An 18,499-nucleotide genomic window follows, 5' to 3' on the forward strand; every position below is an offset into this window, starting at 1 on the left:
GGTATATGATCTTGTTCTTTGAACTTTCTGCATTTTTTACATTTCTCCAAAGATCCAGAGCTGGTTGAGGGTGGTCCCTAAATCAAGTCCCTTTCACCTCCAGCACTTGGCTAGGCTCTGGGACAGAGGGTGGGTGGGTGGGTGGAGGGGTCCCCACTGGCTCAGCAGAACTGGCTCCCAGCCTGGCAGGAGGCAGGGGGCAGATGTCAGTGGTGATGGCCACCATCCCAGGACCAGGCGGCTCAGCGCTCTCTGCCTCTCTGGGTTCCTCTCCTCTGACCCCCTCCATGCTTCAGCCTCCCCCAGCCCTGTTTGTGTATTTCCAATTGTCTCCATGGCTGCTGACTTCCCAAGCACAATATTCCAAAGATGTTCCAGCCAGCCCAGGAGTGGCCTTCCCATTCCCATGTCTTTCCTCTGACAGATCCATCACCCCCATCTCCCCATCTCAGAGATCCCGACGTCAACATCACTTGTGAAAATCACCAGTTCTGGGGGTGGGGACCCAGCTCAGATCCTCACCTCCTCAGCCTTGAGCCACAGACGCCCTCTGCCTGATCTCAACCGTCTCCAGGGCCCTCATCCACTCAGCTCTCCCTAGCCCACCCCTTTTTAGGCTCCCTCAACATGTCCAATGAAGGCTGCAGAAGAAAGTCGACCCCTTGGTGCAGGGGTCAGCAAACTTGTTCTGCAAAAGGCCAGAGAGTAAATGCTTTGGACTCTCTGGGCCGGAGAGTCTCTGTCGTGACCACTCAACTCGGCCCTTGGAGTGCAGGAGCAGCCACAGACAGTAAATGATGGGCATGACTGTGACAGTGAAGCTTTACTGACAGACACTCAAGCTTAAATTCTAGATCATTTTTCACGTGTCTCAAAAAGAATTCTTTCCATTTTTCAACCCCCTTAAAAAACGTAAAAACCGGCCAGGCGCGGTGGCTCACGCCTGTAATCTTGGTACTTTGGGAGGCCTAGGTGGGCGGATCACCTGAGGTCGGGAGCTCGACACCAGCCTGACCAACATGGAGAAATTCCATCTCTACTAAAAATACAAAATTAGCCGGGCGTGATGGTGCATGCCTGTGATCCCAGCTACTCGGGAGGCTCAAGCGGGAGAATCGCTTGAACCCAGGGGGCAGAGGTTGTGGTGAGCCTAGATCGCTCCATTGCACTCCAGCCTGGGCGACAGAGCAAGACTCCATCTCAAAAAAAAAAAAAAAAAAAAAAAGTAAAAACCATCCTTAGCTCACAGGCTGTACAAAACAGGTGGAAGGCTGGCTTTGGCCTGTGGGTTGCAGATGGCAGTGCCCTGGCATAGACCATCTGACCAAATCCAGGGGATTCTTCTCCACCTATCCAAACCAGCTCTCTGCCAACCTCTCCAGGAAGCCTTCTGGCCACTCTTGGCCTAAACACTTCATCCCACACAGGGGCATATGACAACCAAGTGACGAAACTTAATTAAAAAAATCACACTGCAAACTACAAATCAAAAAACATATTGTCCTTCCCAATAATCACATGGAAAAGCTATGTTCTGTTCTAATGTTATCCAGAATAGTTTAAGAATTCAAGAATTCTTCAAGAATTGCAAGGTCAGTTAATAAGCCCTGCAAGAAAATTGCTCGCCGTCCTCTAGACCAGCCATGTCCAACAGAAACACTGCAGGAGACATAGATACAATTTTAAATTTTCTGGTAAGCAAAAAAAAAAAAAAAAGTGAAATTAATTTTAATAATTTTTAGCATAATATATCCAAAATATTATTATTTCAGCATATAGTCAATATGAAAACATTATTTCTTTATTTTTTTTTTATTTTTTGAGACGGAGTCTCACTCTGTAGCCCAGGCTGGAGTGCAACGGTGCAATCTCGGCTCACTGCAAGCTCCGCCTCCCAGGTTCACGCCATTCTCCTGCTTCAGCCTCCCGAGTAGCTGGGACTACAGGCGCCCGCCACCATGCCCGGCTAATTTTTTTGTATTTTTAGTAGAGATGGGGTTTCACCATGTTAGCCAGGATGGTCTCGATCTCCTGACCTCGTGATCCGCCTGCCTCGGCCTCCCAAAGTGCTGGGATTACAGGCGTGAGCCACCGTGCCCAGCCTGAAAAAATTATTAATGAAATCTTTTACATTCTTTTTTTTTTTTTAGAGACAGGTTGTCACCCAGGCTAGAGTGCAGTGGTGTGATCACAGCTCACTGTATTCTGAAACTCCTGGGCTCAAGGAATCCTCCTGCCCAGTCTCCCAAATAGCCTGGACTAAAGGCACATGCCACCAGGTCCCGCTAATTTTTTTATTTTTTGTAGAGATGAGGTTTCACTTTTTTGCCCAGGCTGGTCTTGAACTTCTGGCCTCAAGTGATCCTCCTGCCTCAGCCTTCCAAAGTGTTAGGATTACAGGCGGGAGCCACCGCACCTGGCCTATTTTATGTCCTTAAAGTCTCCAAAGTCTGCTGTGCATTTTGCACTTAAGCACGTCAAAGTTCTGCTCAGCCACGTTTTGGGTGCTCTGTAGCCTGCGCGGTGTCCACACTGGACAAGGCCGCAGCGGGGCTGGAGCCCACCTCCTTCTGTGTTTCAAATGGCTCTACTCAGTGTGATCGCTCCAGTTGCCAGAGCTGGCTGCACACAGCTCTCAGCTGCTTCCCCAAATCAAAACCCTCTTTAAGTGAAAATGTTTTGCCAGCACTGAGGATAATCAAAAGAATGTGCTGGAAGCTTTAAAGGAGATTCCGAAATACAAGTGTTCAAAATACAGCATTTTCTCCCATACCATGACAGGCAGAACCTCACTGTGGCTCTGCGAGGTGCGTCCCAACAGTGCAGCTTTACGGAGGAGAAGACAGGTTCTGACCACTCAGGGTCATTTCGTGAGCGGGAAACCCTGCAGCGTGAGACCTTCGTCCCCCACGTGCAGAACTCCGGCTCCTCCATCACCCGCCACCTGGGACACCAGGACAACCCCCCCCCGCCCCTCCCAGATTGTTCTGGAGAGACTGGGCTCTTTTTGGAGAAATGGAGCATGTCTATTAAACATTAGACAGGACTGTTTGCTCTCTAAAAACAATTCTCCTTATTTGTAAAGTGCATTTGCTGTTTCGCAAGAGGCTATTTCATCGAAATCCAACCTAGTTCCCAACCTCTGGTCACCAGCAAACTAGAAGTGGAGAATCCTTGGCCCATTTTTTAAAACTTTTTTTTAGTTATGAAACACACTCAGAGAAGGAAAAGGAAGAATACGTGTCCCTTAAATCACATAATCCTAAGACATTTATGTATTCTCTACTATATTTTGTGCCCTATAATGAATGAGTTAATGAAAAACCCACTCCTTGGAATTATATCATATCTTGCTTTCAGTTGGATCATAAATATATTTTCCCAGGTGAAGTATACTTATGATATAACAAACTTTAGGGTTGAAGTACATCCCCTAAAATTCCTGTGTTGAAGTCTTAAACCCCAGTACCCAAGAATGAAACTGTTTTTGAAGACAGCATCTTTATAGAGGTGATCAAGTTACCTTGAGGTCAATATGACTGGTGTCTTTATAAAAAGAGGAAGTTGGTAGCAGGTGCCTATATACAAGGAGAGTGCTGTGTGAATACAATGATGCCACCTACCAGCAAGGAGCAGGCCTGGAGCAGCCCCTCCCTCACAGCCTCCTAAGGAAACAATCCTGCCGACACCTTGATCTTAGACTTCCTGCCTCCAGGGCTGTCAGAGAGATTTCTATTGCTCAAGCCACCTGGACCCTGGTACTTTGTTAGGGCAGCCCTAGCAAACAAATATACCACATTATTAACACATTTAAAAAGTATAAGGCCAGGTGTGGTGGCTCACGCCTGTAATCCCAGCACTTTGGAAGACTGAGGCGGGCGGATCACCTGAGATCAGGAGTTCAAGACCAGCCTGGCCAACATGGTGAAATCCTGTCTCTACTAAAAAATACAAAAATTAGCCAAGCGTAGGGGCGGGTGCCTGTAGTCCCAGCTACTCAGGAGGCTGAGGCAGGAGAACTGCTTGTACTCAGGAGGTGGAGGTTGCAGTGAGCTGAGATGGCGCCACTGCACTCCAGCCTGGGAGACAGAGCGAGACTCCATCTCAAAACAAATAAATAAATAAAAATAAAAATTATAAATGCCAACCCTCCATCTTCATAGAATCAGCCGCCATTGCTAGGCATCTGGCTTCCAACTAGTGGCTACTGAAATAATAAACTCCACATTTTAATACATAAATCTTCATCTGTATCCTCATTATTTCCAGGATTACTGTTTCCCCAGGAGGATAAACTGGACCCCAACTCGTATTGCCCAGTGGGTTCCCCGAAATGTAAGAGTGCTGCCAGGGATTTAAATCTCCACCAGGCTGGGAACTGAAAAATGGTTTTCTGACTGGGCACAGTGGTTCACACTTGTAATTCCAACAATTTGGGAGGCTGACGTGGGAGGATTGCTCAAGCCCAGGAGCTCAAAACCAGCCTGGGCAGGGCCGGGCACGGTGGCTCACGCCTGTAATCCCAGCACTTTGGGAGGCCAAGGCGGGTGGATCACCTGAGGTCGGGAGTTCGACACCAGCCTGACCAACATGGAGAAACCCCGTGTCTACTAAAAATACAAAATTAGACAGGCATGGTGGTGCATGCCTGTAATCCCAGCTACTCGGGAGGCTGAAGCATGAGAATCGCTTGAACTCAGGTGGTGGAGGTTGCAGTGAGCCGAGATCGTGCCATTGCACTCCAGCCTGGAAACAAGAGTGAAACTCCATCTCAAAAAACAAAAACAAACAAACAAACCAGCCTGGGCAACATAACAAGATCCCACTTCTAAAAAATTAGCTGGGGGTGGTGGTGTGTGCCTGTAATCCCAGCTACTCGGGAGGCTAAGGTGGATCACTTGAGCCCAGGACGTCGAGGCTGCATTGAGCCATGATTGCACCACTGCACCCCACCCTGGGTGACAGATTATCCTATATTTATTAGACATTTGTGTTCACTTGTGAATTATCTGTTGGTGTGCTTTGACAATTTTTCTGCTGGCGTGGTGGAATTCTTATTATTTTTAATACAGAGATTAAGCTGAGATGGAATTTTCATTGATATGTAAGAACTCTTTATATAGTAAAGATCACTACATACACACCATAGACACACACCATAGATACATACATCACGCACCACATACCATAGGCACACACCATAGGCACACTGCATAAACATCACAGACACACACACCACACACCACAGACACACACACTGCACACACCATAGACACATCACACACACAACCCCATAGGCACACACCACACTCTACACACACACCATAGACACACACATCCACCACAGATGCACACATACCATGACACACCCAGGCACACACACTATGACACACACACACCATGACACACAAACACACACCATGACACACACCATGACACACACAAACACATACCATGACACACATGTATTTCTCCTAATTTGTTGTTTGCCTTTTATTTATATTACCTATTTTGACATACGGAGGTTTAAAACTTTTATGTAAATTGATGGTAACTTTTTCTTAGTAACTTCCTTTATTACTTTTATACTTAATATAATCCTTTCCAAGCTAAAGATCGTTAAACATTGGTCTATATTTTCTTCTATGTTCAATGAACTACTTTTAATGTTTCAAAAGCCTAATTCAAAGCATATATTTACCTGAAAGGGACTCACATGTTAACTAAAGTATCGAGCAGTTCATTGAGTGTTTATGTTGTTTTTATTGCTAGGCCCTGTTTTTATTGCTTACTCAGTTATCTGACAAAAACACTGAAATCTATGATAAATTAATAAAGCTGGGACGTTTATTTTTATTTATTTATTTATTTAGAGACAGAGTTTCTCTCTTGTTGCCCAGGCTAGTGGAGTGCAGTGGTGCTATCTTGGCTCACTGCAACCTCTTCCTGCCAGGTTCAAGTGATTCTCCTGCCTCAGACTCCCGAGTAGCTGGGATTACAGGTGCCCACCACCACGCCTGGCTAATTTTTGTATTTTTTTAGTAGACACCAGAGTTCACCACGTTGGCCAGGCTGGTCTCGAACTCCTGCCCTCAGGTGATCCACCTGCCTTGGCCTCCAAAAGTGCTGGGATTACAGGCGTGAGCCACCACGTCCGGCCCTGTTTTTATTTTTTTGAGGTGGAGTCTCACACTGTCGCCCAGGCTGGAGTGAAATGGCACAATCTTGGCTCACTGCAACCTCCGCCTCCCAGGTTCAAGCAATTCTCCTGCCTCAGCCTCCCATGTAGCTAGGATTACAGGCACCTGCCATTACACCTGGCTAATTTTTGTATTTTTAGTAGAGACGGTTTTGCCATGTTGGCCAGGCTGGTGTCAAACTCCTGACCTCAGGTGATCCGCCCGCCTCAACCTCCCAAAGTGCTGGGATTACAGGCGTGAGCCACCATGACTGGCCGGGGACATTTATTATATAAAACTTTATGGACAATTTTAAGAGGTGCCTTGGCCGTGACCCGGAGGCCTATGTGGTTTGGCCCACCTCATGGTCCACACCCTCTCAGCTGCCGCAACGCTGCACATGTGACAAACACGTGTGTGAGATCCACGGTTCTCATACTATCACACGCTCTGGTGAGAGTAATGGCTCATCACAGGCAAGATTTACCGCGAAATGGGACAGGCGGGGTCATTTTAACTTCCTCCCCAGGCCACCCCCTCCACCCTGCTGAAAGCACCTGCAATAAAATACGTTTTCAGAAATTCACCAGATGTCCCTTCCAAAGATCAAGCCCAGCTGCTCCCCTCCCCTTTATGGGCAGGCGGCCCTCCAGGGGTATTGCGAACGGGCTCCAGCGACAGCTGCTCGGAGGCTACCATGGGACAGTACCCGGGCAGCCACAGCCCTCCATGCCCTCCTTCCGCCCCGCAGTCCCAGCATGAAGCCACAGTTCCCCATGAGCCCAGGGCAAGCTCGTCAGAGACCCTTCCCTGCGGAGGCCCACAGCCCCTGCGGCCACTTCTTCCCCGAATCTCAATCCTGCTTCGTGTGGCCACTGCTGAAAGAGACGCTCAGTGCCACTTAGAGCGCACAGCCCACTGGTCCAGGCTGTGCACACCCAGGGACCCTTCCAGGCATTCCTCACCTCGGTGCAGGCCAGGAGCGAGAACTGCTGCCGGGCCCCCCCCCACCGGCTCAGGGCGTGGCTGGGGTGGCCCTGCTCCTCGGTGGCCCGCCTGGCCCCGCTGTGGGCTTCCCTCCCACCACCCCGGCCACAGTCACAGCGGGTTGTGTCAGGCCGCCCTCATCTCCCACCTCCCAGGCCCAGCTGGCGCCTCCAGCCCTGGTGTGAATTTCCATTCAGGGTCCAAAATCCACCTTGGCAGCGCCCTCATTCTGCAGCTCCACGGAGCCCTCCAGCCAGAGAAGAGAAATCTGAGTTTAACCCGATCCTGTCAGAAGAGCGGGAGGAAAGAGCTCCGGCGGACAGGGCTCCCAGGCCCCTCCAGGACGAGGTTGGAGGACCAAGCGCAGAAGGTAAGGACGCAGCCCTCGGCGAGTGCGGGCGGGGCCCAAATCCCTCGCCGGCCGGCTAAGCAGAAGCGGCTTTTGGCTTTCCGCGACAAAGCGCAGCTCCGGGCCAGACGGTCCTGCCCGGCCCTACCCGCAGCCCCGGCCCCAACCAGAGGCCCCACTTCAGCCCACCAGGCAGGACTGCAGCGGGGCACGCCCCACGGACCCCAGCCCCTTGGAGATCCCAAACCCCATGCCTGCTGCTCCCACCCCGGAGGAGTCAGAGGCCGAGAAGCACACACACCATAGACCCCACACCACGCACACCATAGACACACATACCACACACCACACACCATACCACACACAACACACACCACAGACACACACACCATACACCATAGACACACATACCACACACACCATAGACACACACACTACACATCATAGACACACACACCACACACACCATAGACACACACACCACACACCATAGACACACACCACACGCACCATAGACAAACCACGCACACCATGCACACACCACACACCATATACACACACACCACACACGACACACCATAGGCACACACACCACACACCACACACCATAGACACACACACCACACACCATAAGCACACACACCACACACACCATAGACATACACACCATAGACACACAGACACACATGCCATAGACACACATGCCACACACGACACACCATAGTCACACCACACATACACCAGACACCAAGACACACACACTACATACACACCATAGACACACATACCTACCACACACTACAAACCATAGGCACATACACCATAGACACACGCACTACATACACACCGTAGACACACACCACAGATACATACATCACACACCACATACCATAGGCACACTGCATAAACATCACACACACACCACACACCATAGACACACACACCACACACACCATAGACACACCACACACACAACCCCGTAGGCACACACCACACTCTACACACACACCATAGACACACACACACACCACAGATGCACACATACCATGACACAACCAGGCACACACACTATGACACACACACACATACCATGACACACACACACCATATACACACAAACACCACAGACACACACACACCATAGGCACACACAAACACACCAGGACACACACACCATAGACACACACATACCATGACACACACGCACCCCATGACACACACCACACACAGCCACCCTCTGCTCTACCAGCTTTGCCTCTGTTCTCCGACAGCGCCAGTGTTGACACGCCAGAGGCTGCCTGGGCCCCACTCCTTCCCAGCTGTCTCCAGGATTAGGGAAGCCCCAGGCGGATCCGGGGCCGCAGGAGCCTCCCTACCCAGCCCCCATGCTGGTCTGTCTTGGGTCCATAAACACAAGTCAGCCACCTGTCACCGGGCGGCAGGAAGTGCAGGCTCTGTGAGCTGGAGGAGGGGGCGCCTAGGCTCTGAGGGCTGAATAAGGGGCCTGGCAAATGCCCCCGGAGAGCCCTGGAGAGTTTTGCAGCAGTCCTGGCACCTGGGCTTCGGGGCCCGCCTGCTGGGAGCAGCCGCCTGCTGGGAGCACCTCCTTGCTGGAAGCACCCCCCTGCCAGGAGCCCCCCACCCCCACCCAGGAGCACCCTCCTGCTAGAGTGCCAGGGAGACACTGCTGCCTAATGGCCAGGAGCTTGCCCAGGGCAGTGACTTCTGGTCCACTTCTGTCCCTTGGTTGTGTCCCTAAGACCCAGGGACCCTGGAAGGTTCACCTGTCGGTGTCACACGGTTCCTTCTTCACACAGCAGGAACAGAGGTACAGAGAATGGCGTCCAGGCCTCCTTAAGGACTCTCAATCCATGAGACAGGAAGCCCCACAGGGAAGCAGTGGCCCCCCGCCCCCTATCTCCTCACATACAGCACTCTGTACCTTCTGCTCATTTTTCTGTAAACCTAAAACTGCTCTAAACAATGAAGTCCGCCACGCAGAAACTGCACACGGATGTTGAGAGCAGCTTTACTCATAACTGCCAACACTCAGAAGCAACCGAGATGTTCTCCAACAGCTGAATAAATAAATAAACTGTGATACACCTAAATAATGGAGGATTATTTAATACTAAAAAGAAAGGGGCGGCCGGGCATGGTGGCTCACGCCAGTAATCCTAGCACTTAGGGAGGCCAAGGCGGGTGGATCACCTGAGGTCAAGAGTTCACGACCAGCCTGGTCAATATGGCAAAACCCCATCGCTAATTTAAAAATACAAAAATTAGCCAGGCATGGTGGCGCACGCCTGTAATCCCAGCTACTCAGGAGGCTGAGGCACGAGAATCACTTGAACCCGGGAGGCAGAGGTGGCAGTGAGCCAAGATTGTGCCACTGCACTCCAGCCTGGGTGACAGAGGGAGACTCTCTCTCCAAAACAAACAAACATCATCTTCTGGGGGAGGGGGGAATCTATTAGTTTAAAATAAAAAGAGGCTTGAGATCAGGAAGCTTGCATCCAAAGAGGTGTGGAGGAGGCGTGGACGAGGGTGGAGTTGTGTGGACCAATGCCGAGAACAGGCAGGCACTAGAGGCAGGCTGAACAGAGCAGAGTCAAAGACAACGTTTGGTTCCTGGACTGAGAACCCAGCTGCCGGCAGCCCAAGTTGTCTGATGGGAGAGTTTCCTAATGTCCTTGAATCTGCAAGATGCAAGACTTTGAATGGCCCTTGCCCACAGCAGTGTGGAGCAGTTGATGCCCATGACCTTAGGGACCTGGAGTCCTGCGGGGTTTGAGGGGGGCAAAGAAAACCATTCGTCCTGGGAGGCAAGGAAGCTGGATGTCAGGAAGGCTGCCCCAGTATGGAACTCAGAGCAAGGGGGACATCCAGGTTCCCTTCTGCGGGCCTGGGGCTCTTCCTAGGGGCCAGATGCCTTCTCATCAGTACACGAACAGAGGCGGGGGCAGCCAGCAGAACTCCTAAGACACAAAATGAGTGAACACTGGAAAGGGAGCTGAGACAGGCCTGCAGCAAAGAACAGACACCAGGCTTTTCCAATCTATAGGAAGGACTCAGAGTTCATCAAAATCAAAATAGCAATGCAAGATGCTCAAAGCACCTTGTGGCAATTATTACAAATCCCCTCCCCAAATCCTGAGAGATGAAGATGGATAGAGAAGCTGAGGAGGCTGGGCACGGTAGCTCATGTCTGCAATCCTAACAGTTTCGGGAGTCCGAGGTGGGCGGATCGCCTGAGTCCAGGAGTTTGAGACCAGCTTGGGCAACATGGTGAAACCCCGTCTCTACAAAAAAGCAAAAATTAGCTGGGCATGGTGGCATGTGCCTATAGTCCCAGATACTCAGAAGGCTGAGTCAAGAGAATCGCTTGAGCCCAGGAGTTCGAGATCAGCCTGGGGGACATGGAGAAACCTTGTCTCTACAAAAAAACTTTAAAAATTAGCCAGGCTTGGTGGCCTGTGCCTATAGTCTCAGCTACTCAGGAGGCTGAGGTGGGAGGATCGCTCGACCCTGGGAGTTGAGGCTGCAATGAGCTGTACTTGCGCCACTGCACTGCAGCCTGGGTGACAGAGCAAGACCCTGTCTCAAAAAAAAAAAGAGGCCGGGTGCAGTAGCTCATGCCTGTAATCCCAGCACTTTGGGAGGCTGAGGCGGCAGATCGCTTGAGGTCAGGAGTTTGAGACCAGCCTGGCCAACATGGCGAAACCCCGTCTCTACTAGAAATACAAAAACTAGCTGGGCATGGTGGCAGGCGCCTGTAATCCCAGCTACTTGGGAGGCTGAGGCGGGAGAATTGCTTGAACCCGGGAGGCAGAGGTTGCAGTGAGCTGAGATCGCACCACTGCACTCCAGCCTGGGCAACACGGCAAGACTCCAACTCAAAAAAAAAAAAAAAAAAAAAAGAGAAGCAGCTAAGGGTAGATCCTTGACAATAAGAACCCCCCATTCTCCTCAAATGCATCCACTTCACATTTGTATTTTGAAACGGTGATGTCCTTGTTGGTTTGTGTTTTCAATAATAAGCTCCCGAGTGCATGACACCTCCGAGACGCTCCTTTTATAATGTGCCTCCCAGAATGCCATCTTCGTTAAGGTTCCAAATGCCTTGTTTTTGTTGATGGAAAGGATAGCAATGCCAACTTGGCAGTTGGCACAAAGAATTCACAGATGGATTGAAGCCAAGATCTACAATTTGCATCAGCTTGAGTGTACAAAAAAAAGAAAAGAAAAAAAGAATAGCCGGGCGCAGTGGCTCACGCCTGTAATCCCAGCACTCTGGAAGGCCGAGGCAGTTGCATCACCTGAAGTCGGGAGTTCATGACCAGCCTGGCCAACATGGTAACACCCTGTCTATTAGAAATACAAAAATTAGCTGAGCATGGTAGCACACACCTGTAATCACAGTTGCTCGGGAGGCTGAGGCAGGAGAATCGCTTGAACCCAGGAGGCAGAGGTTACAGTGAGCCAAGATGGCACCATTGCACTCCAGCCTGGGTGACAGAGCGAGACTCTATCTCAAAAAAGAAAAAGAAAAAAAAGAATGATTTTAGAAGGCAAAAAGTAAAAGCGTCAATGCTGATTCTAAACCATCAGACCGGGGCATGATGACCAGTTGATTTTTTTTTTTTTTGAGACAGAGTCTCGCTCTGTCGCCCAGGCTGGAGTGCAGTGGCGCAATCTAAGGTCACTGCAATCTCCGCCTCCTGGGTTCAAGCAATTCTCCAGAGTAGCTGGAATTACAGGCGCGCGCCACCACACCCAGCTAACTTTTGTATTTTTTTTAGTATAGACGGGGTTTCACCATGTGGGCCAAGATGGTTTCAATCTCCTGACCTCGTGATCCGCCTACCTCGACCTCCCAAAGCGCCGGGATTACACGCGTGAGCCACCGCCCCGAGCCGACCAGTTGATTTCTGTGCTGCTCAAAGCCATTGGTGACCAGTAGGTAGGGCCAGATTTCTGCAAAATAGGCCATTGTGTAATTCGAAAGGAAAGAACAACTTGGCCATTCCTCAACAAAAATACACAGGCTCATAAAACAAAAAACTGTGCAGAAACTCCTCCACCAGAGAGTCATTCTTTCCCAGAAACCTGCAACTCTTTAAGAATTAGAGCACCATTGAGAAGCATGGAGTCGCAGCACCTGCAGCTGGCAGGGGTGTTAAACTGGTGATAAAGGTAGCTGAAGTCTGCTTCCAGGACGAGAGCGCTTTGAGGGGGCTGGAGTAGGGGGAGCTGCCTGCAAGGTGAAGACGTGGGAAACCTCAGAAGCCCTAAGGAGAGAGGGGCGGGCAGGGGAGGAGAGGGGCAGCAGATCTATTCTTTCACAATGCTGTTGGGAACTGGCCAGGCTGTTGGGTTGGAGCTGACACAGGGCGCAGCTGTGAGCCTGCTGTTAACCACACATGTTCCCTTCCCGTCCCCTAGGAGCCACTTGGCCACTGAAACTTGGCCTGGAACAGCCAAAGATTTGGTGACTCACTGTGTGAGCAGTGGGGGTGGGTCTTCTCTAGCAAATATTCACAGGGCATGAGGTTAGGACATCTACTACCCAAAATTCACTGCCCAAGATTTGGTGACTTATACCCTAGAAAAGAGAGTCCTCCTCAATGTAGAAAGTGGCAAAGTCACCAGAAAACCAGAAATGAGCAAACACAGATAAAGAAATGACACAACCGTCTCCCCTCTTGTCTCCTTTTGAAAGCCCTCATTCCACGCGTATGAGCTTCCTACGGCTGCTGTGACAAATGACACAAACTTACCAGCTACAACACAAATGCATAACCTTACAGTCCTGGAGGTCTGAAATCTGGAATGGGTCTCACAGGGCTAAAACCAGGTATCAGCAGGGCTGGTTCCTCCTGGAGGCTCTAAGGGAGAGTCTGTTTTCTTGCTTTTTCCAGCTTCTAGAGGTCACCCACACTCCTTGCTCTCGACCCCTTCCTGCATCTTCAAGGCCAGCAGTGGCCGATCGAGTCCTTCTCATACCTCATCTCTCTGACCCTGACTCTCCTGCCTGATCCTGCGATTGCATCAGGCCCACTCATATAACCCAGGATCATCCCCCATTTCAAGGTCAGCTGCTGAGCAACCTTAATTCCATCCCCAACTTGAATCCGTGGCCACGTAACATACCATATTTACAAATTCCCTGGATTAGGACATGGGCATCTTTGGGGGCCATTCTTCTGCCAACCACACCAAACCGAGGACACTGTAAGGAGCTGATTTCCAACTCGCAGGGCGGCCTCTGACCTGCTCACCCACTGACGGTGAACCCCCCACGCAGAGTGACTACTCTTTTAGCAGTAGGATGAGGACCGAGGCCTAGAACCCAGGAGAGGAGCACGCCTGGGCCCCGACGTCCCTGTGAGGGCAGCGAGAATGGACACAGGTGGGCTACAGGTTCATGACCAGGACCTGCCCGTGGAGGCTGCCTCCACCTAAGGTCTTAGTTTCCTGTCCTGGCCTAAAGGGCTTCATCAGTTCCCAAACAGGAAAACAAAAAGAACAGAGGTGCAAAAGTCTCTTCCAGAACCCTCCTGGAGGTAGCCTGGAGCCACTAGGAGAGAGGTATCACCCCAGCCTCTTCTCTTGCTCACTCTGTGCCGTGCACCGGCCTCAGGGCCACCTTGGGTTAGGGGCCAGGATGCAGCAGTCAGCAGGACAGACCTGGTCCTGGAAACCCATGGAGCTGGCAGTTCCCACTCACCAGAGGGACGCAGCCCATGCCCACTAGTGACAGGCAGGGGCAGAGGCAGAGGCAGGCAGGGTGTGGGGGCCACGGGACGCAGCCCACCACCGATTATTCCCATGGCCATGTCACTGCCAGACTGCTCAGGAGCAACACGCACTGAGCCCGGTCACCTGGCACATGGCCGGCAGAAACTGGTTCATCTGCTTTGCCCTCAAAGCCCAAGCAACAAAGAACAGGGAAACAGCGACACCTTATTAAACACGAGCCAGACACACGCAAACAAGGATCGCGTTGCCCCCGCTGCAGAACGTCTGCTGCTGGCATGCCTTGGATGAGGCCCCAGCTTCCTCCACCTGCCCAGAGCCAGGCAGGGGCCCTACCCATCTTCCTGGGAACCCCTGGCTTTGCGGGTCAAAGGGCGATATGGAATCTTGTAGGCAGCCAGGATCAGGACCCAGTCCCCGGGCAGCAGGCTTGGGGAAGGTAGCTCCTTCAGTCTCATCAGGAGGATAATCCCCTGCGGGGCCGCCGTGATTTCTCCTCGCAGCTGCGCTGAACTTCAAGTTACAGGATGAATTGAGAAAATAAAGATACTGGCTGCACACAGAAGCCACATTCAGGATACACCCGGAAAGCCTGGGGCCCAAAGATGAGCCTCTATGCAGAAGCGAGAACGGGACATCAAGTTGTATTTAAAATGAAGAAACTAGGGCTTAGGGCATTCACTGCAGTGCTGGGATCTTGGACCATAGGGAAAGAGGACCCCTGAGAGGCTATAACGGGGCAGGACCATCACCAAAACGGTGGTGAGGGAAAACCTGGTGGCCTGTGTGGCTGTGACTCTCCTTTTGCAACTGTCCAGCGGTCACCCTGATTAGCACCCACTCCCTGGAAAACCCCAAAGCCTCTGCCTCCAAGGAGAGACCATCTGCCATTTGTGCACCCTTGATAGTAGATTGTAAAATCCCATTTCCCCCGCAAAGAGCCAAGGAGGTCAGGCCTGGGAGAAGAAACTCAACTCAGAGGTGAGCCTGGATCTGGGACTAAGGAAAGACTAAACACAAAGGGTAAGGGAAGATGCAGACCCAGCCAGGAAATCAAAAACTGCCCTGAGTCTGGCTCAGGTACCTCCTACTTCTATGCTGTGCCTGTAAACATGGAGGCCTAAAGCTTCTCAGCATCTGTCAGTGAAGGAGCAGTGAATGCACCGCAAAACAAAACTGAAACTGGGGGGACATATTAACAACACCCAAAAGCAACACAACTGATCTTGCTTTGGAAAGCATTTTAGTTACAGAAAAGGCAAAAGGCTGTCAAATGACATCTGTAAAGTTCACCCTTTCCCCCACTTCCAGAAGGCTAGAGTAATGATGAACTATATTGGAGCATTGAATTCAGGCTCACTCAACATGCAAAAAGCAGTACACGACTGAAGTGTGCAAGCCAGCATGGATGCGGGCTTGGCACCCGCAGTACGTTGGCTTCATAGTGACCAATCCAGAAAGACCACGGAGAAAATACTGCCACATCTCAGCGTCTGCAGCCCATACAGGCAAGCAGACACATGTATCACCTTCCAACGCCTGCACAGACTCACCGCCCAAGGCTCAGCAACAGAAGGGCAGGCCATTCCGACTGGACAGTGGATTTGGATTATTTCTCTTTTCTTTCTGTTATTCATGTGTCAGAAGCCACCACGGGCAGAAATCGAACTTAGTCTTACAGTGGCCCGATTTCTCTCATCCTTTGAGGATGGTTATGTAAGTTCCGAAGACAGAGTAAAGAACGTATTTCAAATCAGATGCCACCAGACAGCTCATAAAAGCAGATTTATTAGAGATGCAACATCAGGTGCTCAAAGGACAGATAGGATAAAAACACCAACAAAGCCAACAGGATAAAAAACACTGCCGCTGAGGTGAACGGAAAAAGGCCTCCAACATCATTGCCCCATATTTTTGGGAAGGGTGCAAATGTGTGCTCTCTCCTGTGCACTGGCCTCATTAACAGCAATATAATGCAAATGCAATACAAATGGTGTACAATTCGATCATAAAATCATCCTCTGCGCTGTCACCTTCACATCCCAGAGCCACCCGCCCCCGGTGCTTAATGCTGGATGAAACAAAGTAGCTAATCTTACAAGAGAATTTAGGCCTGTGACAAAAATCAGGGTCCCTCAGCCAGGGAAGAAGGGGAGCTAAAATTTTCACAGGAGGTGGTGTTGCCAGGCAACCTGATCAGCTCTGCTCCCCATAGCATCCTGCAGGGACCCAGCCCCCGGTCAAGTTGTAAAGATAAGGGTACACATACGCACAAATAGTAAATCCTACATCTGCCTGGAATCACTTTCCACCTCATGGACCACACAAAGGGGAGTGAGGAGTCAAAGCACAAAAACAAAATGTTTTGTGTCAATCTAGTTAAATGTGGAAAATCCAAATAACGGTCATTAATAACAGTGTTAAAATGTTACCATTTGACATTACTTACCACATCCTAAATGGTAACTCAGGATGTGTCAGGAATTCAATGCTTTTCATAATCCTTGCACAAAGTCTCTGAAGTAGGTAGTATAGATGGGGAAATTAAGGCACTGGAGAATTAACTAAGTGCCAGAGGAGTTGGGGTTTTTGTTGTTGTTTTGTTGTTGTTGTTGTTTGGGTTTTTTAGGTTTTTTTTTTAAGCAGAGTCTCACTCTGTCACCCAGGCTAGAATGCAGAGGCTGGTCATGGCTCACTGCAGCCCTGACCTCCCGGGCTCAAGCTATCCTCCCACCTCAGCCACCCAAATAGCTGGGACCATAGGTGCCCACCAGCATGTCCAGCTAATTTGTTCATTTTTTGTAGCGATAGGGTCTCTCTAGGTTGCCTAAGGTGGTCTTGAACTTCTGGGCTCAAGTGATTCTCCCAAAATACAGGATTATAGGTGTGAGCTACTATGCCCAGTCCAGGATTTGTATTTGAAGCCAGCAGTCCATCTTTCTACGCCATGTTCTTAACCACTGCACCTTATTACCCAAAACTGTGGACAGAGACCAGTGCAATTGTAGGTAGGTTCTGCAAACTCAATGGCTTTATCCTGAAGCCTGGGGGATGCTTTCCATACTGAAGTGAACTGAGATTAGCAGCTAGTGGTGACATGGGATTAGTCCCACCTCCTTGCACTGTTATGAACCACTTGGAAGAATGTTTGTATATGAATGGTGGGCACCCTCTGTAAGACAGAGGGCAAAGTTGTACAACGGTTTTCTGGAGCTGGGACGTCCTGGGCCTAAGGCCTAATTCTGTCACTCCTAACTGCATGAGCTTGGGAAGTTACTTCTCTAAGCGTCAGTGTTCCCATCTGTAAATGGGCATAACTGCAGTCCTGACTTCATGAGCTTGTTTTGTGGGTTAAGTGAATTCATGCATGATAATTAGGAACTACTAACGCAATCACCAAAATTGCTAGAGGATTAAATAATTCCACAGATAAAAACTTTTTTTTTCCTTTTTTTTTTTTTTTTTGAGACATAGAATGTTGCTCTATCACCCGGGCTGGGGTGCAGTTGCACATCTTGGCTCACTGCAACCTTCGCCTCCCGAGCTCAAGCGATTCCCCTGTCTCAGCCTCCTGAGTACTGGGATTACAGGCTCACGCCACCACACCGGGCTAATTTTTGTATTTTTAGTAGATATGGGGGGTTTCACCATATTGGCCAGGCTGGTCTCGAACTCCTGACCTCAGGTGATCCGCTCGCCTCGTCCTCCCAAAGTGCTGGGATTACAGCCGTGAGCCACGGCGCCCAGCCATAAAAACTTTCGCCATAAAAACTTTCGTTAGCCATAGTCTCACCATAAACATGCCACTTACAAAAAAATATGCGCACAATAACCACGCTCAGGATGCAAACAACATCCATTAATGAACTTTGTAGTTAATACCAAAAGTTACTCCTCACTTTATTCTTTATTTACAAAAGCTTTCATGGTTCTTAAAAGTGTTTAGTATTCACCAATTTTACTGTTAGCGTTTCTAATGAGGATTTTCTAAAACTGAGGCATGGATTTGAAAAAGTGTTCTGATCAATCAGTAACAGATTTGGAATGGAATCTCCAGCCCCCAGTCTTTGCGCCCACCCTCTGGCAATATGCCGCCTCACGTGAGCATCTTTAAGACGGAGTTCCCTTTTTATTCCAGATAAAAGAATTAGGAGCCTTCTGGTAGAAAAGAAAGCAGATCTTCAGGATCAAGTCGCAGAGGCTGGCCAATCAGCCCAGCTTCTCA

The 18,499-nt window shown here is 50.1% G+C and overlaps 1 protein-coding gene and 1 long non-coding RNA gene across 16 annotated transcripts in view, besides 3 other annotated features; one reads left to right on the forward strand and one right to left on the reverse strand.

The window, feature by feature from the left end:
- Window positions 1-18,499, reverse strand: part of TBC1D16 (TBC1 domain family member 16) — a 103,530-nt gene that overhangs the window by 84,136 nt on the left and 895 nt on the right. The gene's annotated exons all lie outside the window — the stretch shown is intronic.
- Window positions 6,426-7,291: an enhancer, noted in NCBI's record as "H3K4me1 hESC enhancer chr17:77996703-77997568 (GRCh37/hg19 assembly coordinates)". NCBI's record gives its function as "activates a minimal SCP1, AML or CMV promoter by ChIP-STARR-seq in naive H9 embryonic stem cells {active_cell/tissue: H9 hESC(naive)}" and the evidence as "EXISTENCE:reporter gene assay evidence [ECO:0000049][PMID:30033119]".
- LOC124904072 (uncharacterized) lies at window positions 7,422-9,626 on the forward strand. Its single transcript, XR_007065929.1, has 2 exons — window positions 7,422-7,536; window positions 9,333-9,626. It is a non-coding gene; the product is annotated as an uncharacterized LOC124904072 (long non-coding RNA).
- Window positions 13,186-14,055: an enhancer, noted in NCBI's record as "H3K27ac-H3K4me1 hESC enhancer chr17:78003463-78004332 (GRCh37/hg19 assembly coordinates)". NCBI's record gives its function as "activates a minimal SCP1, AML or CMV promoter by ChIP-STARR-seq in naive H9 embryonic stem cells {active_cell/tissue: H9 hESC(naive)}" and the evidence as "EXISTENCE:reporter gene assay evidence [ECO:0000049][PMID:30033119]".
- Window positions 14,454-14,623: an enhancer, noted in NCBI's record as "experimental_47575 CRE fragment used in MPRA reporter constructs". NCBI's record gives its function as "activates a minimal promoter by MPRAs in K562 erythroleukemia cells, with activity observed for both the introgressed and non-introgressed 17:78004816 variant alleles {active_cell/tissue: K562}" and the evidence as "EXISTENCE:reporter gene assay evidence [ECO:0000049][PMID:34662402]".

This window comes from Homo sapiens, chromosome 17 (assembly GCF_000001405.40).
Source record: "Homo sapiens chromosome 17, GRCh38.p14 Primary Assembly".
Taxonomy (NCBI): domain Eukaryota; kingdom Metazoa; phylum Chordata; class Mammalia; order Primates; family Hominidae; genus Homo; species Homo sapiens.